At 41.9% G+C, this 26,501-nt stretch overlaps 1 protein-coding gene across 27 annotated transcripts in view, besides 1 other annotated feature; it reads left to right on the plus strand.

Annotated features, from left to right (window-relative positions):
- The window catches only part of PDE8B (phosphodiesterase 8B), a 341,542-nt gene that overhangs the window by 274,912 nt on the left and 40,129 nt on the right, over positions 1-26,501 (plus strand). The gene's annotated exons all lie outside the window — the stretch shown is intronic.
- Positions 14,961-15,589: an enhancer, noted in NCBI's record as "NANOG-H3K4me1 hESC enhancer chr5:76672412-76673040 (GRCh37/hg19 assembly coordinates)". NCBI's record gives its function as "activates a minimal SCP1, AML or CMV promoter by ChIP-STARR-seq in primed H9 embryonic stem cells {active_cell/tissue: H9 hESC(primed)}" and the evidence as "EXISTENCE:reporter gene assay evidence [ECO:0000049][PMID:30033119]".

The following is a 26,501-nucleotide window of genomic DNA, read 5'->3' on the forward strand; positions in this document are numbered from 1 at the left end:
GCCTCAGCCTCCCAAGTAGCTGGGACTACAGGCGCCCGCTACCTCACCCAGCTAATTTTTTGTATTTTTAGTAGAGATAGGGTTTCACTATGTTGGCCAGGATGGTCTCGATCTCCTGACCTTGTGATCCACCCGCCTCGGCCTCCTAAAGTGCTGGGATTACAGGCTTGAGCCACTGTGCCTGGCCCTCATCTTACTTTTTGATGTAAGTGAAAATATCAACTAACATTTATGCCAAGACTCCACTCATTCATTAACTGTAACCATAAATTGGCTGCTGATACAAGAGGTCAAAAAAACCAGCAAAAGCATTTTGTGGGAATCCATTGGCTATATAGACTCTACAACCAAGAGTGCCTTATATTTGAATATTGTTTTGAAATTGTGTGTTATACATTCTTTGTATTAGGGATTGGGAAATTTATTTCTTAAAGGGCCAGATAGTAAACATTAGGCCTTATGGTCTCTGTCAAACTGCTTAACTCAACTCTGCCATTGTAATGGGAAAGCAGCAATAGATGATATATAAATGATGGGCAAGGCTATGTTCTAATGAAATTGTATTTACAGAAACAGGTGGCCAGTACATACTGACTTGCGAAAACTGATTGTTTGATTTTCTGGAATTTTGTGATTCAGTTGTTAAACCAGCCATTATTAAAAATTAAATTACATAAACATGCAATTAAACAAATGCTATGTTTAAGAAATAATAAGAACAGCCCATCCCTTCCCAAGCACATTACTATAGTTCACTATCGTGTTAGTAATGTCAAGAGCATACATGATGGTAAGCTATAGTAATGTGCTATGTGGCCATATGCTAAATTATGGCCTGGACCGTAATTTCCTGACCTCCGCTTTATATCAGTAAAATGTATAATAAACTTATGTTCGGCTATCTTTGCTTTTTCAGCAAGCTGGTGGTTAAACTCTTAGCAGCATACTGTTGACTACTATCCTATCTGGTCCCCAGTCCTCATTGTGAAGGGCTCAGTGGTGGTTCCTCATCACTGACTAAACCATCATCAGGCATCTTTGAGGAGCACGCTCCTGACTTCCTGCCCCGCTTTCCCTGCCACCTTCCCAAGTCACACTAGGCTGTTTGTAGTTCTCTGGACATGCCAGGCTTGGCCATGCCTCTGTGTGTCACTCCCTCTGTCTAGCATGCTCTTCCTTCCTCCTGTCCTCCTGGAAAAATCTTGGTCCCCTGAGCCAGGTCAGGAGCCCCCTCTGTGACTGCCCCCGGCCACCTCTCTCCTCCTCCCCGCTGTGGAGTGGATTTGGCACTGACCACACTATCACTGCTCAGCCTGACCAGACCCTCCAGGGCAGCATCATGTCTTGGTCGCTGTGTCCCCATCTCCCACTGATGCTGCTGAATGCACTTAGTAAAGATTTGATCAGTGGAGCTCATGGAAGAGCCTATGTTTTAGTAATCCAAGTAAGATGTCTTTCGTGTTGACACTTTGTATCTGTTACTCTCCAAGTGCATTTCATACATTAACTCCTGCAATCCTTACCACAACTCCAGGAGGGAGATACTAGGCTCCCCTTTCTACAGATGAGGAAACTGAGGCTTGAAGTGGTCAAGAAGCCTGTCCAGGCTTCACATGGGATGCGTGTGGCAGAACCAGGATTCTAACCCTAAAGTAGTTAGCAATATGGAAATAAAGGAAGCACAAGTGTATCTTCGGAGAATTCATAAGAGAAAGGTTTCCCTTGCTTGGGAAGTGAGGGGATGACTTCATAGAGGAGGTGTTGACTGACGTGGGTTTGAGCAGTGGATAGAATATGTCATTGTAGGCCTGGTGCGGTGGCTTATGTCTGTAATCCCAGCACTTTGGGAGGCCGAGGTGGGCGGATCACGAGGTCAGGAGTTCGAGACCAGTCTGGCCAACATGGTGAAAACCCATCTCTACTAAAAATACAAAAAGTAGCTGGGCATGGTGGCGGGTGCCTGTAATCCCAGCTTCTCAGAAGGCTGAGGCAGGAGACTCACTTGAATCCAGGAGGCGGAGGTTGCCGTGAGCCGAGATCCCACCATTACACTCCAGCCTGGGTGACAGAGCAAGACTCCATCGCAGAAAAAAAAAAAAAAAAGAATATGTCATTGTAGGGAGAGATCCTCTGCAAAAGTGAAAAGGCAACGAAAGGCAGGAGAGGAGATAATCAAGCATGGCTGGTCCCCTCAATGTGTAGAGTAGGGGAGCTTGAGCTGAGGGTACAGTTGGTGCCCAGATGCTCAGCTGCCCACCTGGCTTGGCCTGGCTTCCTCCACAGTCCATACCCTACCTCCAGGTGCTTCAGGGTCCACAGCCACCCCAGTGGGTGTTTGGGCTGAAGTAGATCATGTCATGTGGATGGGCCTGTTTACGTGATGTGCCATGGAAGGGAGTGGCAGGTGGGCAGCTTGGAGTGAAAAGCTAAGAGAGTGAGGTAGCTAACTGCATCTGTACGGAGAATCCTGGGTCTCTTTTATGGAAAACTGGAGGCCCAGACCTGCGTAGCTCCTTGAAGGCCATGAGAGCACCTCGTCCAGGAGTGGGCAAGGTTGGGCATGCAGTAATGTAAATGGAGTAGTAAATGTCAGCTCTGACTGCAGCATTTCAGTTCAGCTTTCTACCACACTTTGGAGGTATGCAGCCAACTGCACCTAAAACCCAGCCATTGTACCACCTGCTTCTTTGTCTATAGGACCCTTTATTTCTAACATGGTCAAAGCAGTGTTCATCACATAAGATTAGACTCAAGCGTCTGGATCTTCGCTTCTGTGGTGCCTCATTTAAATAATTTCTAAGAACAAAATTCCAAGAGGTATGGTTTCCTCTAGTGCCATTGCTTGAAAAAGAAGTGAGGAGGAGGAAGAATTTGAAGTGTTCTTCCTTCCGCTTCTCACCCTGGTTTGCTGAAGGCTAGGTTTCCTGGGTGAGATTTCAGAGCCCAGCTCCAGGAAACTGAAGAAAGTATGCATTTACTCATCCTGACCAGCTGCACCTAAACCCAGAATCACCATGTAAGGAGTGGCTTCAACTTTTCCTCATTATTTGTTAGTCAAACAAGATGGCTGCAGGATGGGAGGCTGAACAGCTGCAACGTATGTACTCGAGGGTCTGGGGAGGAAGAAAAGGGCCAGGTCTCAGTGGGTGCCATTAGTTCTGCAAGTGCCTTTTGAGCACTTTCATAGCAAACACAACCCTGAACTATGGCACGATGAAGAGAAAGCACGGGGGAGCCTGCTCTCAAGCTGCTTTGGGTCTAGTAGAGGTTTGTGAGAAGGTTTCAGATCACTGGAACTGTTGAAAAGAGTTTAAGTCTATTCGCAGAGCTTTGGCCCACAAGTTACAAAGGAAACAAAAGGCAGATTCATAAGAAGCCAGTTGTAATCCATAGGGAACACTGGACCTGTCTGATGGCGGAAATCCCTACAGGAGGAACGTTCACATCTACCCACTGGTGCTAGGGAACAGCAGCTCCTTCAGCACCTGTGTTCGATGAGGAGGAGTGTGGAAGGGCTAACATAGTGGCTCCCAACCTTGGCTGCACATTGGAATCACCTGGAGAATTATCAAAGAAAACAACAACAACAAAAACAGAGGCTCTGATAGATTGGGTCTGGGGTGCAGTCTGGGCATGAGGATTTCTGAGAGCGCCCCAGGGGATTCTGATGTACTGCTGAGGGTGAGAACCACCAAATTTCTGAGTGAATTAGATCTGGCGCGATCATGTTATATTAGGCTAGGGAGCTTTCCTGCTGGATGTCTTGGAGGGGGACAAGACTGATTTGACCAAAAACTCCTGTTAGGGCAGGCTGATAGAAGGATGGCCTTTGTATAATTCTCACAAGGAAGACCAGGCCACTGTGGAACTGCCAGGGGTAGGGACCATGCCTTCATCGTCATCATCTTATATCTGTCTCCTAGGTCCTGGCACACAGAAAATATCTATTGAATAAATACTTGCATCCAGGCAGAGAGAAGCCATGGTGTTTGGGTAGCAGCAGTGGTTTCTGAGAGACAGGGGCCTGTGTGTGCCCTTCCTCAGGCTTTGTCAGGGCCAGGGAGCTTGGAGCATAGCTTGGGCTTCCAGAGCAGCCAGTGGCCCAAGAGAAGTCTGACCTGGGCAAAGCTGCTCTCCTCTCTGGACTCAGAGAGCACTGTGATGATGTGGCTCTGCCTGTCTTGTCAGCCATGTTTCCAGCACTTAGCATGAAGCCTGGTGCACAGGAGGTGCTTCCGTAGGGGTAGATGATGTGCTGGGCAGTCAGCCCTCTTCCTGGAACTGGCTTCAGGCACCGAAGCTCCTCTATCTGCAGGGCCTGACCTGAAGGCACTTTACTTCCTGATTACAGTGAGATTTGGGGACAAATACAACAAAAATTCATTCCACAGTCTACACCCCAAGCCCCATTATCTGATTCAGCTGACAGGTTTTTGGGTTTTTTTGTTTTTTGTTTTTGTTTTTTTCATGTCTCTTGCACATTAATGTTTTATGGTTTGAGATTTGATAGGGGAAGTAATAGTGTGAGTGGGATTTATACAGTTTCCTGCTTTAATTGAAATTAGAAAAATTCACCCAACATCCTTTAGGCTATGAGAACTTTGGTTTTTTTTAAAAAAAATCTTCAATAGATCATCGTCCCTGCGACGCTGCACCACCAAAACTCCAAGTCTTGTTTCTCTGCCTGTCACTACTGGGCTCTCAGGAGATGCAGCAAACGGCTGCCCCCTTTAGCCACAGAAGCACAGTGTTCTGGGTAAGCAGTTGAGGGGTAAGATCCAAAGCATGTGCCAGTGTATCACCATGGGGTGAGAGTCCAGAGACAGCGGTTGTTGAGTAGGCCCTGGGGTCGGTCAGCTGTGCCAAGTGGTCCAGGCTCAGGCAGGGGCAGCTTTTTGCATTAGAGGGCAGATCACCACTGCTCCACTGCTGTCAGGGGCTCTTCCTCTGTGCCTAAGAACCTTGGCGCCTATGCTTGGGGAACTCACTGCTGTGGAAATACAGCCTCGTGGGTGTGTGGGGGTCTGCCTGGCCTGCAGCAGCTCCATGAGGCCAGAGCGGGGCCTATGTATGTTCTTTCATCTTCTGATGAATGTTGTCCCTCAGAGGGAATTGTCTGAACAGTGGCCCCAGAGACATGTTCTATATTAGGAATTTAAAGTGACATTAAAAACTGCAACATCTTTAAAACATCCAACCAAAGGTTCTAGGGGCTTCGGGGCTCTAGGCCTTGCTCCTGGATGGCAGCCCCCCGGTGGCCATCAAGGGCGCTTTGGTCCAGATGTCCCCTGGGGCATCTGTGCAGAGAATGTGCAAGGTCAGGCCCAAGTAGGCCCTCCAGAGGCAGAAGCTGATGATGACCAAGGGGGTCCAGGCCCCTTGGGGCCTCTCAACTCATTAGCTTCTATGGGGCCAACAGGGTAAAACTGTTGGGAAAATGGACCTTTCAAAAATTCTTTTTAGACAATGTGGACTGTTATTTGTAAACTTAGAAAGAGGAGGGTATGCTAAAACATTGTTTTCTCAAAACACACACACACACACACACACACACACACACACAAATGTCTTCACATAAAAAGGAAAGGGAAGAGAAACTTCCTCACTGTCTTCAGAATTCAGTTACTCCTTCACAGCTGCTGAAGGTGAGCAGCGTTGTGATGAATTCCTGGGGTACACTCTGGTTCCTCTTGATTCAGTGGTGGAGAGTGTAGAAGCAGATGCTGCAGCCAGTGAGTGTCGTCCCTTGTGGAGTGGCCAGTGCAGAAGTTATCCCTTCCCCTTGTGTTTGAACTAATCTGGGGCTGAAAGCATACTTTCCAGCTAGTCTTCCTGGTGATGACCTTGACCTTTGATCTGGAAATACCAACTGGAAGCCTGGGGAGTTCCTTCTCTTTTTCTCTCTTTTTTTTTTTTTTTTTTTTTGACAGAGTCTCGCTCTGTCACCAGGCTGGAGTGCAGGGGCGCAATCTCGACTCACTGCAACCTCCGACTCCCGGGTTCAAGCGATTCTCCTGCCTCAGCCTCCCAAGTAGCTGGGACTACAGGCACGCACCACCATGCCCTGCTAATTTTTGTATTTTTAGTAGAGATGAGGTTTCACCATGTTGGCCAGGATGGTCTCAATCTCCTGACCTCATGATCTGCCTGCCTTGGCCTCCCAAAGTGCTGAGATTACAGGCGTGAGCCACCACGCCTAGCTGGGAAGTTCTACCGTTTTCTAAGGCTTCCAGCAACACTGAGTCACAGACCTGGGTGAGTCATCTGCACTTGCAGCGTTCTTCACAAAAGCCCCCAACTTGTTCTCAGTGCTGAACTGGCTCCCCTGGCCATCTCTCTGGCATGTGATTGTCAGGGCCAATGAGGCTGGCATGGCCTTTGTGACTAATATGTCCCCATGTGAGAATAAGAGATAAGTTGGAAAACATTTGATTCCCTGGAGAAGTCTTAACCCTTGGCCTCCCATTTTCAGTAGCAGCATTTAGAGAAGAAAGTGTAATTTTGTGTTTGGTCTTTCAAATCCATCTCTCTTATTCCTTTGGAAGCATCTTCACTTTCTCCAGAATCACTGTATTAAAGCCATTCCTCCTCTCCCAATCCATCCTGCACCCCCTTCCAGATTCATCTCCCCAAGATAACACTTGACTCTTTTATTTCTGTCTTAAAAACTTACACTGACTCCCTGTTGTGTATAAGGTCTGTCTTGCTGACTTAAAGTCCCAGCCCTTGATCCTTTACCCTTCCCGTGACTCCTGTGGAGCCTGCACTGTAGAAGGCTCAGCTTCTTACACCCTGTTACTCCTGGCTCCTGATCCCCAGGTATACTGCATATTCAAAGGGCAATCTAGAAGTCTGGTCCCTCTCATGGAATGTTCCCTTCACGATAGCTTACTGTCCTTTCGGAGCCCTGCTGCACTTGCTGGCTGCGTCACACAGCCCAGCACTCAGCCAAGTTTTGTCTCACTACACAGGTCATCCCAGGCAGCATTCAGTATCTTCTCCATCTTGACCTCTTCTTTCCCCAAGGGCCTTACACGGTGCTAGGTAGGTGACTAATACATTCAGACTAAATTAGATTACCTGAAATTATTCATAATTAGGTTACCAGCATCATGTCTTATAAATCAATCACTAGAAAGGCACTTACTTGATGAGCTACACAGAAGGAATAAGACAGCCCCTGTTCTATTCTACTCTTATTAAGTCAAGTGGACAATACTCAGATATATGGAAACAGAAAGAAAAGCAAAGAGGTGTGGTTAGACCCCATCTTAAAGACAAAAGAAAAAGAAGAGGCTGGGCGCAGTGGCTCACGCCTGTAATCCCAGCACTTTGGGAGGCTGAAGCAGGTGGATCACCTGAGGTTAGGAGTTCAAGACCAGCCTGGCCAACATGGTGAAACCCTGTCTCTACTAAAAATACAAAAATTAGCTGGGCGTGGTGGTGCAGGCCTGTAATCCAAGCTATTCCAGAGACTGAGGCAGGAGAATAGCTTGAACCTGGGAGACGGAGGTTGCAGTGAGCCGAGATCATGCCACTGCACTCCAGCCTATGCGACAGAGCGAGTCCACTGTCTCAAAAAAAAAAAAAAAAAAAAAAGAAGAGATAGACATAAGAGATGTTTTGATCAAAACATTAACCAGAATGTTTTTGAAGTGAGGTATTGAAGGGTGAGATGGAAAGAAGAATAAAGAATGGCCCCACCTGAGTAGCAGGGCATTGACTGTTCCATGAATTCCAAGGTGGAAGGAGTATCACAGAGCCCTGAGCGAAGGTTTCTGCTGGACAAGAGAAGCAGGGAGGATGAGGGTGTGCTGGACCGAGGTGACATAAGAGCCAACGTCTGGCTAGATATGCAGAGAGAGGAATCCAAGGAGATCCGAAATGGCATGCTGTATCTGAAAATAATGAAGTGTAATACAATAATATTTTATTGAGTGTTTGTTTTGGGACAGGCCCTAGACTGTCTTAAAGGCATCGTCTCAATTAATCATCTTATCAAGCCCATAAGATAGTATTATCCTTATTCAGCAGATGAAGAAACTGATACTCAGAGAGCAGTTACACAGCTAGAAAATGTGCAAGCTTGGCATCATACCTCGAGACCACTACACAGCCCTTCCCTGTGGTGCCTTTGAACAAATGTTTTCACTGGCACAGGCCACTCACAACATGAAGTACACTCAGCCACTTTTTGTAAGTCATGGGGGAAGCAAACATTGTGAAAAAGACACCCAGAGCTCACCCTCAGTTCACATTCCAGCCAATTTTTTCTCAAGCATTTTATTGTGAAAATTGTCAGGCATACAGCAAAGTTGAAAGAATTTTACAGTAAACACCTGAATAACCACCACCTAGATTCTACCGTTAACATTTTACTATATTTGCATTATCACATCTCTTTAAATATACATCCCTCTGTACATCCTTAATCCATCTTGTTTTTTTAAAATAAATTTCATCTATTAGTACTTTTCCTCCTAAAGCCTTTAGCGTGCATATCATTAGCAACAGTTCTATATCTGCTTACATTTTATGTAAAATTAACATACAAAGAAATGCACAAATGGTAAGTGTACCTTTGTGTGACCTTTGACAAATGTATACACCTTTGTAACCTAAACCCTAAGAAGACGTAGAACATCACTGCCACTCCAGAGAAGGTCCTTCTTCCTCTTCCCAATTAATGTCTGTCCCCCAGTCCTCAGAAGAAACCATTGAGCTGATTTTATCCACCATAGATTAGTTTTGCCTGTTCTAGAATTTCATCTAAATGGAGTCACAGTATTTACTCATTCGTGGAAGGCTTCTTTCAGTCAATATAATGTTTTTGAGATGTATTTATGGTTTTGAGTATATGATTTGGTTGCTTTTTACTGCTGAGCACTGTTCTATTGCATGGATATACCACAGTTTGTTTATCCATTCTCCCATTGATGGGCACCTAGATTGGTGCCAGTCTTGAGCTATTATGAATAAAGCTGCTGTGAATATTCTTATACAAGTCTCTTTGTGAATATATATTTTTATTTCTCTTGGGAAAATACCTAGGAGTAGATTTGCTAAGTCATGGATTAAATGTGTGTTTACTTTTGTAAGAAACTGCCAGTTCTCCCAAAGTAGTTTTTAGCATTTGACATCGCCAAGAACAATGTATGAGGGATTCAGTTGCTGCACATCCTTGCCAACAGTTGGTTTGCCAGTCTTTACAATTGTAGCCATTTTATTAGGTGTGCAGGTCTTAATTTGCACTTCTCTGATGACTAATAATGTTGAACAATTTTTCGTGTGCTATTGGTCTTTTTTAAATGTCATCTTTTGTAAAGTGTCTACTCAAATCCTTTGCTATTTTAATTGGGTTGTTTTATTATTGAGTTGTATTAGTTCTGCATATATCCTGATGAATACATCAGTCTATTACTAGGTGTATGTTTTGCTCATATGTACTTTCACTCTGTGAGTTTCCTATTCATTTAACAGTATATTTTAAGAAGTTTTTAGTTTGATAGTTTAATTTGTTAATATTTTATGTTCGTTGTTTTCTGTGACCTACCTAAGAAAACTTTACCTACCCTCAAGTCAGGAAGATATTTTGTATTTTCCTTTAAAAACTTAGTGGTTTTACATTTAGGACTATCATCCATCTAGAGTTAGTTTTTGTGTATGGTGTCAGATGGGATCAAGCTTAATATTTTTCCATTTGGATATCTATTATTCAAGCACCATTTGTTGAAAAGACTTTCTTTTCTTCATTGGATTGTTTTGACATCTTTGTCAAAAGTCAAATGAGTATGTAATATTGATCTGTTTCTGGACTCTGTTCTTTGCATTGATCTATTGGTCAATCTACATATTGCATGCTTTCTTAATTACTTTATAGTAAGTCTCAAAGTCAGGTAATGTAAGTTCTTCAACTTAACATTGCATGATTTGGTATTCTATGTCCTTTCAATTTCTATATAAATTTTAGAATTAGCTTGATAATGTTTCCCCCAAAAGCCTGCTGAGTTTATTTTTAGGATTACATTGATGCTGTAGATCAATTGGAGAGAATTGATATTTGATGATATTGATTCTTCCAGTCCATGATATGGGGTAGTTTTATGTTTGTTTGGATCTTCTTTAATGTCTCTCAGCAATGTTAAGTAGTTTTCAGTATAGAAGTCTTGCATATCTTTGTTAAATTTATTTCAAAGTACTTTATGTTTGCTGATGTTGTGACAAATGGAATTGATTTCTAAGTTCATTTTCTAAATGTTTGCTGCCAGTACATAAACATACAATTGATTTTTTGCCGGGTGCAGTGGCTCACGCCTGTAATCCCAACACTTTGGGAGGCCGAGGTTGGCATATCACTTCAGGCCAGGAGTTTGAGACCAGCCTAGCAACATGGCAAAACCCCGTCTCTACTAAAAATACAAAAATTAGCCAGGTATGATGGTGCACACCTGTAAATCCAGCTACTCAGGAGGCTGAGGCACAAGAATTGCTTGAACCCAGGAGGCAGAGGTTACAGTGAGCTGAGATTGTGCCACTGCACTCCAGCCTGGGTGATAGAGTGAGATTCTGTCTCAAAACAACAACAACAACAACAACAACAACAAATTGATTTTTAAAATTAGCTTTCTACTTGTGAACTTGCTTGATGGATTTGTTAGTTTCAGCAGCTGCTTTATAGATTGCTTAGGATGTTATACACAAAAAGTCATGTCTTTCACATCTATTTAGGATGGAATCTTGGTCTGTAGTTATCTGTTTTTTGGATAATGTCTTCATCAGGGTTTGTATATTAGGATTGTGCTGGCCTATTAAATGATCTTGAAAATATTCCCTCCTTCTCTATTTTCCGAACAAGTTTATATAAGACAGGTGTTATCACTTCCTTAAATGTATGATAGAATTCACCTGTGAAGGTATCGTGGCCTGGAATTTTTTATGCGGAAAGATTTTTCATAAGAAGATCTTTTTTCCCCTAAATATAGGAAAGTTCAGTCTTTTCTGTTTTTATGTCCATACAGGTGAGTTGTAGTTTTCAGAGAATTTGTCCATTTCATTTAGGCTATCAAATTTTTTGGCAAAAGTGGATCATAATATCCTCTCATCATCCTTTTAATGTCTGTAGACTTTGTAGTGTAAGGCCAGGTGTCGTGGCTCACGCCTGTAATCCCAGCTCTTTGGGAGGCCGAGGTTAGGAGTTTGAGACTCAGCCTGACCAACATGGTGAAACACCGTCTCTGCTAAAAATACAAAAATTAGCTGGGTGTAGCGGCGTGCCGCTATAATCCCAGCTACTCAAGAGGCTGAGGCAGGAGAATCACTTTAACCTGGGAGGAAGAGGTTGCAGTGAGCTGAGATTGCACCATTGCACTCCAGCCTGGGCGACAGAGTGAGACTTCATCTCAAAAAAAAAAAAAAGAATTTGTAGTGTAACCTCTCTTTCATTTCTTTATTTGTGTTTGTGTCCTCTCTCTTTTTTATTGTTCTGTCTAGGTGAGATTTATCAACTTGGTTGATCTTTTTGGAGAACCAACTTGTAGGCTTTATTACTTTTCTCTATTGTTAATCTGTTTTCTATTTTGTTGCTTTCTGTTCTTATCCTTATTATTTCCTGCATCTCTTTTACTCAGCTTGGTTTAGTTTGCTCCTTTTTTCTAGCTTCTTAGGTAGAACCTCAGGTCATTATTATTATTTTCTGACAATTTCATTGAGGAATAACTGACATACATTAAACTGCACGTATTTAAAGCATACAGTTTGATGAGCTTTGTTGTATGTACACACCCATGAAGCCATCACCACAATCAAGATAATGAACATATCTATCAACATATCCCCAAGAGTTTCCTTGGGTCCCTTTGTATTCTTTCCCTCCTGACCCTCCTTGCCCTCCTTTATTTCCAAGCAATCACTGATTACTATAGAATAATTTCCATTTTCTCGGGTTTTATGTAAATAAAATTAGAGAGTGTATACTCCTTTTTGTGACATCTTTCACTAAGCATACTAATTCTGAGATTCACCCATGCTGTTGCATTTATCAGTTTATTTTCTTATTGTAATAGCTTTATTGAAATATAATTTACGTACCATACAATGTATCCATTTAAAGTGTACCATTCAATGGATTTTAGTGGTTCATTTCCTTTTATTGGTCAATATTATTCTAGTGCATTAGCTATCCTTTTTATCATTATAAAATGTTCTTCTTTATAGCTGGTGATACTATTTTTTCGTTTTTTTGAGACGGAGTTTTGCTCTTGTTGCGCAGGCTGGAGTGCAATGGTGCCATCTCAGCTCACTGCAACCTCTGCCTCCCAGGTTCAAGCGATTCTCCTGCCTCAGCCTCCCGAGTAGCTGGGATTTACAGGCATGCGCCACCATGCCCAGCTAATTTTGTGTTTTTAGTAGAGACTGGGTTTCTCCATGTTGGTCAGTCTGGTCTCGAACTCCCGACCTCAGGTGATCCACCTGCCTCAGCTTCCAAAGTGCTGGGATTACAGGTGTGACTCACTGCACTTGGCTGATACTCTCTATCTTGTAATGTATTTGATTTGATAGTAATATAGCCATTCCAGCCTTCTTATGCTTGTTTGCATGATGTATCTTTTCCCATCCACTTACTTTCAATCTGTGTCTATTGAAGGTATATTTTTTATGGAGAGTGTATAATTGGCTTTTCATTTTTTAATCAATTCATATCTGCCTCTTATTTGGAATGTTTAGTCCACTAACAGCTAATGTAATTATTGATATGGTTGGATTCAGGTCTACCATTTTAACATCTGTTTTTTTTGTTTTATTTTTATTTTCTTTTATATAGGTATTTTAGATTATTTGAACGATTTTTAAAAGCCATTTTATTTATCCATTGGTTTTTTAGTTAAATCTCTTGGCATTTTTAAGTGGTTGTCCTGGGGATTACTATATACATCTTTAACTACACAGTCTACTTAGCCTAATATGGTACCAATTCATGTGAAACATAGGAACTTTTGAAACTGGAAGTCCATTTACCACCTTCCCTTTTATCCTTTATGTTGCAGTTCTCATACGTTATAAATCCCATAATACGGTTACTGTTTTTGCCTTAAATGCATGTGTTTTAAAGAAATTAAGAGAAAATTTAATCTACTATGTACCCAAGTATTTGCCATTGAATCTTGAGCACTGAAGATCGGTGAGAAGGCAGCATACACGCTTGTTCTGTCCTTCACTCTGTCTCTGGCTAATCCTGTGCCTTTGGGCAAATCCCCTAAGGACTTGGCCTCAGCTGTCTCCCTCTGTAGCAGGTCAGTAGGTGTCTTTGCCTACAGACTACAGACAGAACCAGATACACACACACACACACACACCCAACTCTAGGTTCTCTAATTCTTGAGAAATTGCATTGTTAATGTGGATTTTAGACACTGAAACAGTTCCCAGAGGATACAGCTGTTTTTCCCAGGAAACTTTTACAATAGCTGCCATATACGTGATGGTGTAGTCACTGTGCCATTGCCCCTGATGTGGACACTAACGAAGCTCTCAGCTGTGTTTCTAGGACTTCTACTGGCAGTTTTTGTGCGTCCTGCCCATCCTTCTCTTCTGAGATAGACCTCACCTGCAGCATCAAAAGGAGTAGTTTTATCTCTTGAGGGAGCTCCAGGGCCCAAGACTGTGGGAACCACTGCTGCTTGGAGGCACAAGATGAATCGCCCCAGGCAGGGAGGGTCAGGTTAGACAGCTGGGCCAGTCTAAACTGTTACCTGGACAGAACCAAAACTTTGGCAAAAAGTATTTAAATTCCTGCTTTCAGACATGAATTTCAGCTATGTTTTGCTGGCACATTTTCAGCATAATAGTACCAGAATCTGCCAAATTGAAAAGCTAGGAGAGAGGACATCAAACTTCTCTTTGTTTAAAGTGAGAATAGGTCCCATGGCTGCATTTGCTGCCACCTGTGCCCATCTCCCCTCCATCAGCCAGGCCACCCCAGAAAGTTAAATCCCTCCTTAATGTCCTCCTGCAGCTAGCCTGCTATCACAAAATGCCACTCACAGTCCATTCCTAACGGACTCAGGAAAAGTTCCAGTGGTAGTCTAGTAAGTGGCGCTCAGCGTGGGCTTGGGTGGCATTTTTATCGTGTCTGGAAGGAAAAAACTGCTCATGTCACATGAGATACATATACTTTAAAAAAATTATAAATGCTGCTTAATTCATCCATTTTGTTGCCCCTTTTTAGGGTACAGGAGTGTTAATACTCACTTTGTGCCTTGATTTCTTTTTTTTTTTTTTTTTTTTGAGGCGGAGTTTTGCCCTTGTTGCCCAGGCTGGAGTGCAGTGGTGCAGTCTCGGCTCACCGCAACCTCCGCCTCCCAGGTTCAAGCGATTCTCCTGCCTCCACCTCCTGCGTAGCTGGGATTACAGGCATGTGCCACCACGCCTGGCTAATTTTGTATTTTTAGTAGAGATGGGATTTCTCCATGTGCCTTCATTTCTAGTGGAGCATTCCCAGGCCAAATTAGGTGAAGGGTCTCATTTCCTAGGATTTCTTCACAGGTGGCATCCGTCCTCAGATGGGCTACCTAGGACTAGGGATGGCTGCAGGTTTCAAGGAGCGAGTAGCTTGAATGTGTGATTCAAGGTTATTTAGTATCAAATTTGAGAATGCCCCAAACTTACCTTTTAACTGCTCGACCGCATGGCACCACCTTTTGGGAAATACTGTCTTTGGGCACTTCTGAACTAGTTCGCTGAGAGCCAGAGCTTTATCTCTTGTTCTCAGTCACATCCCAGTGCCTAGAAAATTGCCTAGCACATAGTATATGCTCAACAAACACCTGCTGAATGAATAATTTCATTGTGACAGCACTGTGTTTGTCCCTTATTAGACAGTAAATCCTATGAATGCAGGGACTGGGACCTAACCACCTTTGCCTCACAGGCCCAATAAATATTTCTTGAGTTGAATTAGAAGTTGAGGTTCTAATTAGAGATGCCCTTTTTTCTCCTGGGGGTAATTGTTTACAAAATGTAAACAAAGTTCTAATGAACAGCATTTTCAGAACCTTAGGACACACAGTGATAAAACTGTTTTACATTCCTCTCGTTATTACTAATTTTTCCCTGTGCTGTCCCCTCGCCTCTGCACTAGCTCTCAAGGGACCTGATTTACTAAGCTCTGGGCCTGAGGATCAATTCTATCTTATGCTAATCAAGTGCAAATGAAGGCCTGGTGTCATTAAGTAGTTTAATGACTCTCTGTTGAGTGCTAGTGTAACAGGGGTGGGGAAATGTTGGATCTCTCTCATTCTCTTATTCTCTGGACCATAATCTAGGAGGCATGTGGGTTTACACAGAAAAGTGCCATCCGTCACTGACAATTCTTTAAGAACAAGAAACTTTAAACAAAATGAAATTTCTGTCCCTGTTTATATGTAAGTGTCTGTCACTGAGCAGCAAGGGGACACGGGCTGGAGGACTGACAGCATAAAAGTGAGGAGACAAGTGTGCTGCTTGTGTTAGCCGCTCAGCAGAGCACCCCACATATGCTCAACATTGAGCTTCAGAGGAAAGGAAACTAAAATCAATCCTGAAAGAGCAAGCAATATAAATGTCATTGAATCCAGATTCTCAACAAACAGAATACACCTATGAAAGAGAAGGCAAAGAGAACCAGCATGATCTGGGCCCCATTAGGCTAGGCTCGTGCTTCTCAAAGGATGGCACCGGACCTGCAGCTTCAGCCTCACCTGGGAGCTTGTTAAACATGCAGATTCGTAGTCTCCCACCCAAACCTGCTGAAACAAGTGATGGGTGCAGAACCCAGCAATGTGGCTTAACAAGCCTTCCAGGTGATTCTGATATAAAGACCGGCTTAAAAGCCACGGGCTAATATTGTCTCATTTGATCCTCTTAGATCCTAAAAAGTAGATGTGATGCTTAGTTTTAGGTGTCAACTTGACTAGCTTAAAAAAGATACCCAGAAAAAGGGTCTATGCATCAGATCCTTTAAAACAGTAAAACCTTGTTTATGGGAAGGTGTTTCCCAAAGAGACTGGCATTTGAATCAGTGGACTGAATTTGAATCAGAGGACAGGAAGATCTGCACTCACCAATGTGGGCAGGCACCAGCCAATAAGCCAAGGGCTTGGATAGAATAAAAAGGCAGTGGAAGTGCAAATTTGCCCTTGCTTCTTAAGCTGGGACGTTCATCATCTCCTTCCCCTGACATCGGTGCTCCCGGCTCTCAGGCTTTCAGACTTCGGGACTTATGCTACTGCCTTCCCTGGTTCTCAGACTTGCAGACATCGTATCATGGGACTCCTCAGCCACCATAATCATGTGAGCCAATTTATATAATAAACTCAGCTCGCTTGCTCGCTCTCTCCCTCTCTCTCTACACACACACACACACACACACACACACACACACACACACCCCCTGTTGGTTCTTTGTCTAGAGAATGCTAATATAGCAGGTGTTGGTCGCCATTTACCAATGACGAAACTGAGACTTAGTAAAGCTCTGTAAGTTCCCCAGGTTTATACAACTAGAAATGTAGGTACTGGCCGGGCACGGCGGCTCATGCCTGTAATCCCAGTACTTTGGGAGGCTGAGGCGGGTGGATCATGAGCTCAAGAGATCGAGACCATCCTGGCCAACATGGTGAAACCCTGTCTCTACTAAAAATACAAAAATCAGCTGGGTGTGGTGCTACACACCTGTAGTCCCAGCTACTCGGGAGGCTGAGGCAGGAGAATCGCTTGAACCCAGGAGGCAGAGGTTGCAGTGAACTGAGATCGCGCCACCGCACTCCAGCCTGGCGACAGAGCAAGACTCCATCTAAAAAAAAAAAAAAAAAAAAAAAAAAAAGGGCATGTACCAAAGATCTTTTCTCAAAACCTATGGTCTTTTCACTTTATTGGTGTTTCTCAAACTGTAGTGTGTAATTGAATCACCTGGAGATTAAATGGCAAAATGTAGATTCCAATTCAGTAGTCAGAGAGCTTGCGAGTCAGTAGTTCTAACAAGCTTCAGGTGTTGCCAATGCCGCCGGTACACTGAGCACACCTTAAATACAAAGGCTTAATGTGTTAATGGGGTGGGCCCCAGAACTAAAGTCTCAGCCTCACCTGAGAACTCTTAGATCCAAATGCTTGGCCCCACCCAGACCTACTGAGTCAGCAACTCTGGGGATGGGGCCTATCAGTTGGTTTTAACAAGCCCTTCAGGTGATTTTGATTCATGCATAAGTTTGAAAACTACAAATATATCATCTTTCCATACTAGAAAACTCAGTATTGGCCAAGTTATGAAGTGTGGTGGTTCTTACATTGTAGATATTTGAAAGACATTAGAGAGAAACTAGACAAGAGAAAAAAGATAAAACATTTAAGCCTGAATAGTAGCTTGCATTAAGTGTTTTTCTGTGAGATAAGGACACATAAATGATTATCACTGGGCTAAACAATGACAGTACTTCTCTGTAAAGGCTCTTGCAAATATGTGTAGAATGTAGAGCCAGTGGGCACAAGTACTGGGAGCTAAGAGAAGTTATGACCAAGGGACAGTATAATATCTGAAGATGTAGACCTGGCATTGCACAGGAAAATGATGCTTAAAATTTTTCAAAGAAAATATATCTAACAGCAGAAGAAGATAAATCTCTGCTTGTCTGGCATGCAGAAAATGATCTGGGGGAAAAAAACAGCTTGGGATTTTTCTTTTTAATCTTGTGTAATCCTAGAAATTCATATGCAGTTTCATCTATATCAAACCAATGCATGTTGCTTTGATATAAATAACATTTTAAATTACCATTAAGATAAAAGGGGAGAGATGCTGTTGCACTTAGTCTGTTAGACTCATAAAATGTACTGAAGTGGTATGATACCAAGTATCAGAATCAGCACCCATGTATATTTCTTTTCTGTCTTGGTGCTACAGCATTTGGAGAACTTGGAATACATGAAAACAAATGGCAACAGCTTGTGGGTGGCTTTGAGAGCTATGTAAAGGCAGTCACTGAGGACAGGGGCCCAGAGTGTTGCAAGAGGTGTTTTGTTCCGGTGTTTAGGAGCTGCTTGGGTGCGGATTTTGAGAAGTGAATCTTCAAGTGGTTTTTGAAAATAGAAAAGATCTTTGATCTATGCATCAGATCCTTTTAATTTCAAGAAAATACTCATCAAAGTTTTTTGAGTAAAGATGATCAAAGACGTTCTGTACTATACCACTCACACTGTCATTTCATTACATGTAAATGAAGGGAGGGTCTCAAATGACTCAGTTCCTGCGATCACATCTCTTTATCCAGCATTCAGACTCCAATTCATCAAAGCAGTCTTGTCACAAACATGAAAGCATTCAGTTCTGTCGTGAAGTTGCAGATCAAGAATGTTCAGTCTTAAAAGTGCTTAATAAGTCAACGTTTAAAGCTACAGTGATTATTTAAGTGAATAGTACTTTTGTTCATCTTAACCAGGTTTTTTACCCCTTTCCATAACATTCAGGGGAATGGAGGATGAGACAAAAACAAAACAATATAATTCTGAGTTTGAAAAAGTGGATCAAAAATTTCTTCCATCAAAACCTGCATTCTTCTATATAAAATCAAGAAACATTTAAAAATCACTTCCTGTTTCATTGCAAATGTGTGTAAGAATATGAACAATCTTTTTGTTTTTAAAATAACATCTACCATTTGTACCATTCCATTGAATACAACAAGAAAAGTAACAGACTCTGTCAGAAGCTCAAGGAACCAAGTTAGGGACAAAGGTGCATTTAGATATTTGGCCTCCATTTCTCACCTTCACAACAACTCTTTGCCTGTCAGATTTGGCACTATCTGAGCCCATGGATGTATTTTAAATGGACATTTCTCTCAGCATTTTACCGTGAAACACTGTAAATTAGTATTTTTAGAGACATAACTATTAAGTAAAATATATAATGGCCAAATTATTAATAACAGTGTTTTCACCAGAGCTATGAGGCAAACAGCCTGGTCAATCTCAATCTCTTATGGATTCATTTTATATTAGCTTTTATACGCCAGGTACTGTGTTAGCACTGGGTATACAAAGGTAATCAAGTGAGACATAACCCCTGCCTACACAGAACTTATAGATAGACATTATTCAAATAAGTACTGATTTATGAACTGTTATAAATACAATAAGGGGAAAGTCCATTGATAGCATGTAACAGAAGGGCTTGACCTTATAAGGGAGTAGGATGGGCAGGAAATATCCGGGAAGGGTTCCCTTGGAAATCGTGTTTGAGCTAAGATCTGGAAGACAAATAGGCAGAGGAAAGACTGTGGACTGGGAAGCTTCCCAAGCAGTGGAGCTGCAAGTACAAAGACTCGGAGGTGGGAAAGGGCATGGGAGAACAAGAGGGATGGAAAGGAAGCCAGGATGGCCTGCAAGCTGAGAGCTCAGGGCAGAGTGGTGGGGATCAGAGGTGCACCTGGAGAGCTGGCAGGGACCAGGCCATGCAGCAGAGCCTCATAGCCAGCTCGCTGCCTGGAATTGACCCTAAGACCAACGGGATGTGGGAGTTTTAAACAGGAGAATGACAGGATTAAATACATAGTTTGCAAGCTTACACTGGCTGATGAGAATAGACTGGGTTGGGCAGGTATTGCCAAGCTCAGATGAAAGCTGATGGTACCTGCGTTCTGGTAGTAGAGAGACGCAAGTGACTTTACAGGATTGGATGATGGACTGGCTCTGGGGAGGAGAGAGAAGGAAGCAGCAAGGATGACCCCTGGCTTGCATACTGATATATCTGGTGATTTAATTGTGAGTTCTGATGCCTTTGACTTTCAGTAATGACTCAGACATTTCTACCAAATGCTGTCTACCTTCCCACGGTGATTCTGAAATGGGTGTTGAAGGAGGCATCCAGTATTTATTTCCTTACTTGTTTGTTATTGTACTGATCCTGGCCTTGACTCATTTTAGTTGCTAAAAAGTCTCATGATTTTTTATTTTTTGTTTTTGTTTTTTTTTAAATAAAAGGTTGACATGAACACATCATACTAAGAGGGATGTTTTCATATTGTTTTTAGGGTTTTCTCCTACAAGAGATAGGTTTATGTCGCAAATGAATTTAAATTCTATAATTTAAGGTCATGGGAGAACTTGGGAGCAGGGGAAGGAGGCTAGTTCATAAAATCTATCCATCATAAATTATATAAATTTAATAAAAATCAATGTTTTAAATAGTTACCTAAGTAGGTCTTACACTTGGTAGATTGACAGCTGTTATACACAATTCCCTAGTTATGGTTTGAAGCAGTGTATTATCTTATGCCCAGGCTCATAGTAGGGTGTCCCAGGGACTGTGACATGACATTAACCTCACTCCTCTGTTTCAGGCTGTTCTGATTTCGTCTTGTTTATTTTCATAGGTTTTGAAACTACAGTTCAGACTTCCAATTTTCAGCCATCAATCCGTATACTCAGTTGAACATACAATTTTCCCAATACTTTATTATGAAAATCTTTAACCATATAGAGTTAGAAGGACTGTAAGTGAATACACATGTACTCAGTACCTACATTCTGTAATTAGCATGTTGCTTGATCATATAACCATCTGTGTCTCCCTGTAGACATCCAGCAGCCCATCTAATTTCTGACAGATTTCCAACTATCAAAAAAAAAAGTTGCATATATCAGTATGTTTCACCCCTTGTAACTTCAGCATGCACATTATTAACTAGAGTTTAACATTTGTTTTCATCTATTCTAAGGTAGAAGTTACATACAGCAAAATACGTACATCTTAGGCATAGCCTTCCGTGAGGTTTTTAACTTTTTTTTAATTATACTTCAAGTTCTGGGGTACATGTGCAGAATGTGCAGATTTGTTACATAAGTATACATGTGCCATGGTGGTTTCCTGCACCCATCAACCCTTCACATTAGGTATTTCTCCTAATGCTGTCCCTCCCCTAACCCCCACCCCACCCTCCGACAGGCCCCAGTGTGTGATGTGTGATGTTCCCCTCACTGTGTCCATGTGTTCTCATTGTTCAACTCCCACTTATGAGTGAGAACATGTGGTGTTTGGTTGTCTGTTCTTGTGTTAGTTTGCCAATAATGATGGTTTCCAGCTTCATGTTCCTGCAGAGGACATGAACTCATCCTTTTTTTATGGCTGCATAGTATTCCATGGTTCACATGTGTGCCACATTTTCTTTATCCAGTCTATCAGTGATGGGCATTTGGGTTGGTTCCAAGTCTTTGCTATTGTGAACAGTGCCACAATAAACATACGTATGCATGTGTCTTTATAGCAGCATGATTTATAATCCTTTGGGTATATACCCAGTAATGGGATGGCTGGGTCAAATGATATTTCTGGTTCTAGATCCTTGAGGAATCGCCACACTGTCTTCCACAATGGTTGAACTAGTTTACAGTCCCACCAACAGTGTAAAAGTGTTCCTATTTCTCCACATCCTCTCCAGCATCTGTTGTTTCCTGACTTTTTGATGATGGCCACTCTAACTGGCATGAGATGATATCTCATTGTGGTTTTTATTTGCATTTCTCTAATGACCAGTGATGATGAGCTTTCTTTCATATGTTTGTTGGCTGCATAAATGTCTTCTTTTGAGAAGTGTCTGTTCATATCCTTCGCCCACTTGTTGATGGGGTTGTTTGTTTTTTTCTTGTAAATTTGTTTAAGTTTTGTAGATTCTGGATATTAGCCCTTTGTCAGATGGATAGATTACAAAAATTTTCTCCCATTCTGTAGGTTGCCTGTTCACTCTGATGGTTTCTTTTGCTGTGCAGAAGCTCTTTAATTAGATCCCATTTGTCACTTTTGGCTTTTGTTGCCATTGTTTTTGACTAAATGGCTTCACTTTCGACTAGTCTGACTTCATGATTAAAACATACCAAGTGTTTTAGTCATGAAGTCTTTGCCCATGCCTATGTCATGAATGGTATTGCCTAGGTTTTCTTCCAGGGTTTTTATGCTTCTAGGTCTTACATTTAAGTCTTTAATCCATCTTGAGTTAATTTTTGTATAAAGTGTAAGGAAGGGGTCCAGTTTCAGTTTTCTGCATATGGCTAGCCAGTTTTCCCGACCTCATTTATTAAATAGGAAATCTTCTCCCCATTGCTTGTTTTTGTCAGGTTTGTCAAAGATCAGATGGTTGTAGATATGTAGTGTTATTTATGAGGCTTCTGTTCTGTTCCATTGGTCTATATATCTGTTTTGGTACCAGTATCATGCTGTTTTGGTTACTGTAGCCTTGTAGTATAGTTTGAAGTCAGGTAGCATGATGCCTCCAGCTTTGTTATTTTTGTTTAGGATTGTCTTGGCTATGCGGGCTCTTTTTTGGTTCCATTTGAAATTTAAAGTAGTGTTTTTTCCAATTCTATGAAGAAAGTCAATGGTAGCTTGATGGGAATAGCATTGAATCTCTAAATTACTATGGGCAGTATGGCCATTTTTCATGATATTGATTCTTCCTATCCATGAGTATGGAATGTTTTTCCATTTGTTTGTGTCCTCTCTTATTTCCTTGAGCAGTGGTTTGTAGCTCTCCTTGAAAAGGTCCTTCACATCCCTTGTAAGTTGTATTTCTAGGTATTTTATTCTCTTTGTAGCAATCGTGAATGGGAGTTCACTCATGATTTGGCTCTTTCTGTTATTGGTGTATAGGAATGCTTGTGATTTTTGCACATTGATTTTGTATCCTGAGACTTTGCTGAGGTTGCTTATCAGCTTAAGGAGATTTGGGGCTGAGACGATGGGTTTTCTAAATATACAATCATGTCATCTGCAGAGAAAATTTGACTTCCTCTTTTCCTATTTGAATACCTTTATTTCTTTCTCTTGCCTGATTGCCCTTGCCAGAACTTCCAATACCATGTTGAATAGGCGTGGTGAGAGAGGGCATCCTTGTCTTGTGCTGGTTTTCAAAGGGAATGCTTTCAGTTTTTGCCCATTCAGTATGATATTGGCTGTGGGTTTGTCATAAATAGCTGTTACTATTTTGAGATACGTTCAATCAATACCTAGTTTATTGAGAGTTTTTAGTGTGAAGGCCTGTTGAATTTTGTTGAAGGCCTTTTCTGCATCTATTGAGGTAATCATGTGGTTTTTGTCATTGTTTCTGTTTATGTGATGGGTCACAGTTATTAATTTGCGTATGTCTAACCAGCCATGCATCCCAGGGATGAAGCCAACCTGATCGTGGTGGATAAGCTTTATGATGTGCTGCTGGATTTGGCTTGCCAGTATTTTATTGAGGATTTTCGCATCGCTGTTCATCAGGGATATTGGCCTGAAATTTTCTTTTTTTGTTGAGTCTCTACCAGGTTTTGGTATTGGGATGATGCTGGCCTCATAAAATGAGTTAGGGAGGAGTCCCTCTTTTTGTATTGTTTGGAATAGTTTTAGAATGAATGGTACCAGCTCCTCTTTGTACCTTTGGTAGAATTTGACTGTGAATCCTTCTGATCCTGGACTTCTTTTGGTTGGTAGGCTAGTAATTACTGCCTCAATTTCAGGACTTGTTATTGGTCTATTCAGGGATTCAACTTCTTCCTGGTTTAGACTTGGGAGGGTGTATGTGTCCAGGAATTTATCTGTTTCTTCTAGATTTTCTGGTTTATTTGCGTAGAGGTATTTATAATATTCTCTGATGGTAGTTTGTATTTCTGTGGGATCCATGGTGATACCCCTTTATGATTTTTTATTGCATCTATTTGATTCTTCTCTCTTTTCTTCTTTATTAGTCTGGCTAGTGGTCTATTTTGATCTTTTCAAAAATCCAGCTCCTGGATTCATTGATTTTTTTTTTTTCTTTTTAAGGGTTTTTCGTGTTTCTATCTTCTTCAATTCTGCTCTGATCTTAGTTATTCCTTGTCTTCTGCTAGCTTTTGAATTTGTTTGCTCTTCTCTAGTTCTTTTAATTGTGATGTTAGGGTGTCTATTTTAGATCTTTCCTACTTTCTCTTGTGGGCATTTAGTGGTATAAATTTCCCTCAAACACTGCTTTAAATGTGTCCCAGAGATTCTGGTACATTGTGTCTTTGTTCTCATTGGTTTAAAAGAACATCTTTACTTCTGCCTTCATTTCATTATTTACCCAGTAGTCATTCAGGAGCAGGTTGTTCAGTTTTCATGTAGTTGTGCGGTTTTGAGTGAGTGAGGTTTTTTTTTTTTTTTTTTTTGAGATGGAATCTTGCACTGTCGCAGTGCAATGGCACGATCTCAGCTCACTGCAACCTCCGCCTCTCAGGTTCAAGTGATTCTCCTGCCTCAGCCTCCTGAGGAGCTGGGATTACAGGTGTGCATCACCATGCCTGGTCAATTTTTGTATTTTTAGTAGAGACGGGGTTTCACTATGTTGGCCAGGCTTGTCTCAAACTCCTGACCTTGTTATCCACCTGCCTTGGCATCCCAAAGGGCTGGGATTACAGGCATGAGCCACCAAGCCTGGCCTTGAGTGAGTTTCTTAATCCTGAGTTCTAATTTCATTGCACTGTGGTCTGAGAGACTGTTTGTTTTGATTTCCATTCTTTTGCATTTGCTGAGGAATGTTTTACTTCCAATTATGTGGTCAATTTTGGAATAAGTGTGATGTGGTGCTGAGAGGAATGTATATTCTGTTGATTTGGGGTGGAGAGTTCTGTAGATGTCTATTAGGTTCACTTGGTCCAGAGCTGAGTTCAAGTCCTGCATATCCTTGTTAATTTTCTGTCTTGTTGATCTGTGTAATATTGACAGTGGGGCGTTAAAGTCTCCCACTATTATTGTGTGGGAGTCTAAGTCTCTTTGTAGGTCTCTAAGAACTTGCTTTATGAATCTGGGTGCTCTGTTGTTGGGTGTATATATAATTAGGATAGTTAGCTCTTCCTGTTGCATTGATCCCTTTACCATTATGTAATGGCCTTCTTTTTCTCTTTTGATCTTTGTTGGTTTAAAGTCTGTTTTATCAGAGACTAGGATTGCAACCCCTGGTTTTTTTGCTTTCCATTTGCTTGGTAAATATTTCTCTATCCCTTTATTTTGAGCCTATGTGTGTCTTTGCACATGAGATGAGTCTCCTGAATACAGTATACTGATGGGTCTTGACTCTTCATCCAATTTGCCAGTCTGTGTCTTTTAATTGGGGCATTTGGCCCATTTACATTTAAAAAAGGTTAATATTGTTATGTGTGAATTTGATCCTGTCATTATGATGCTAGCTGGTTATTTTGCCTGTTAGTTGATGTAGTTTCTTTTTTTTTTTTTTTTTTTTTTTTTTTTTGAGACGGAGTCTCGCTCTGTCGCCCAGGCCGGACTGCGGACTGCAGTGGCGCAATCTCGGCTCACTGCAAGCTCCGCTTCCCGGGTTCACGCCATTCTCCTGCCTCAGCCTCCCGAGTAGCTGGGACTACAGGCGCCCGCCACCGCGCCCGGCTAATTTTTTGTATTTTTAGTAGAGACGGGGTTTCACCTTGTTAGCCAGGATGGTCTCGATCTCCTGACCTCATGATCCACCCGCCTCGGCCGATGTAGTTTCTTTATAGTGTCGATGGTCTTTACAATTTGGTATGTTTTTGCAGTGGCTGGTACTGGTTTTTCCTTTCCATGTTTAGTGCTTCTTTCAGGAGCTCTTGTAAGGCAGGCCTGGTGTTGAGAAAATCTCTCGGTATTTGCTTGTCTGTAAAGGATTTTATTTCTCCTTCACTTATGAAGCTTAGTTTGGCTGGACATGAAATTCTGGGTTGAAAATTCTTTTCTTTAAGAATGTTGAATATTGGTCCCCACTCTCTTCTAGCTTATAGGGTTTCTGCAGAGATATCTGCCGTTACTCTAATGGGCTTCCCTTTGTGGGTAACCCGACCTTTCTCACTGGCTGCCCTTAACATTTTTTCCTTCATTTCAACCTTGGTGAATTCACCAATTACATGTCTTGGGGTGTCTTGGGGTTGCTCTTCTCGAGGAGTATCTTTGTGGTGTTCTCTGTAATTCCTGAATTTGAATGTTGGCCTGTCTTGCTAGGTTGGGGAAGTTCTCCTGGATAATATCCTGAAGAGTGTTTTCCAACTTGGTTCCATTCTCCCCATCACTTTCAGGTACACCAGTCAAATGTAGGTTTGGTCTTTTCACATAGTCCCATATTTCTTGGAGGCCTTGTTCATTCCTTTTCATTCTTTTTTCTCTAATCTTGTCTTCTAGCTTTATTTCTTTAGTTGATCTTCAATCTCTGATATCCTTTTTTCTGCTTGATCAATTCGGCTATTGATACTTGTGTATGCTTCATGAAGTTCTCGTGCTGTGTTTTTCAGCTACATCAGGTCATTTATGTTCTTCTCTAAACTGGTTATTCTAGATAGCAATTCATCTAACCTTTTTTCAAGGTTCTTAGTTTCCTTGCATTGGGTTAGAACATGCTCCTTTAGCTCGGAGGAGTTTGTTATTACCCACCTTCGGAAGCCTACTTCTGTCAATTCGTCAAACTCATTCTCTGTCCAGTTTTGTTCCCTTGCTGGCAAGG

The sequence above is a fragment of the Homo sapiens genome, chromosome 5, assembly GCF_000001405.40.
Source record: "Homo sapiens chromosome 5, GRCh38.p14 Primary Assembly".
Taxonomy (NCBI): domain Eukaryota; kingdom Metazoa; phylum Chordata; class Mammalia; order Primates; family Hominidae; genus Homo; species Homo sapiens.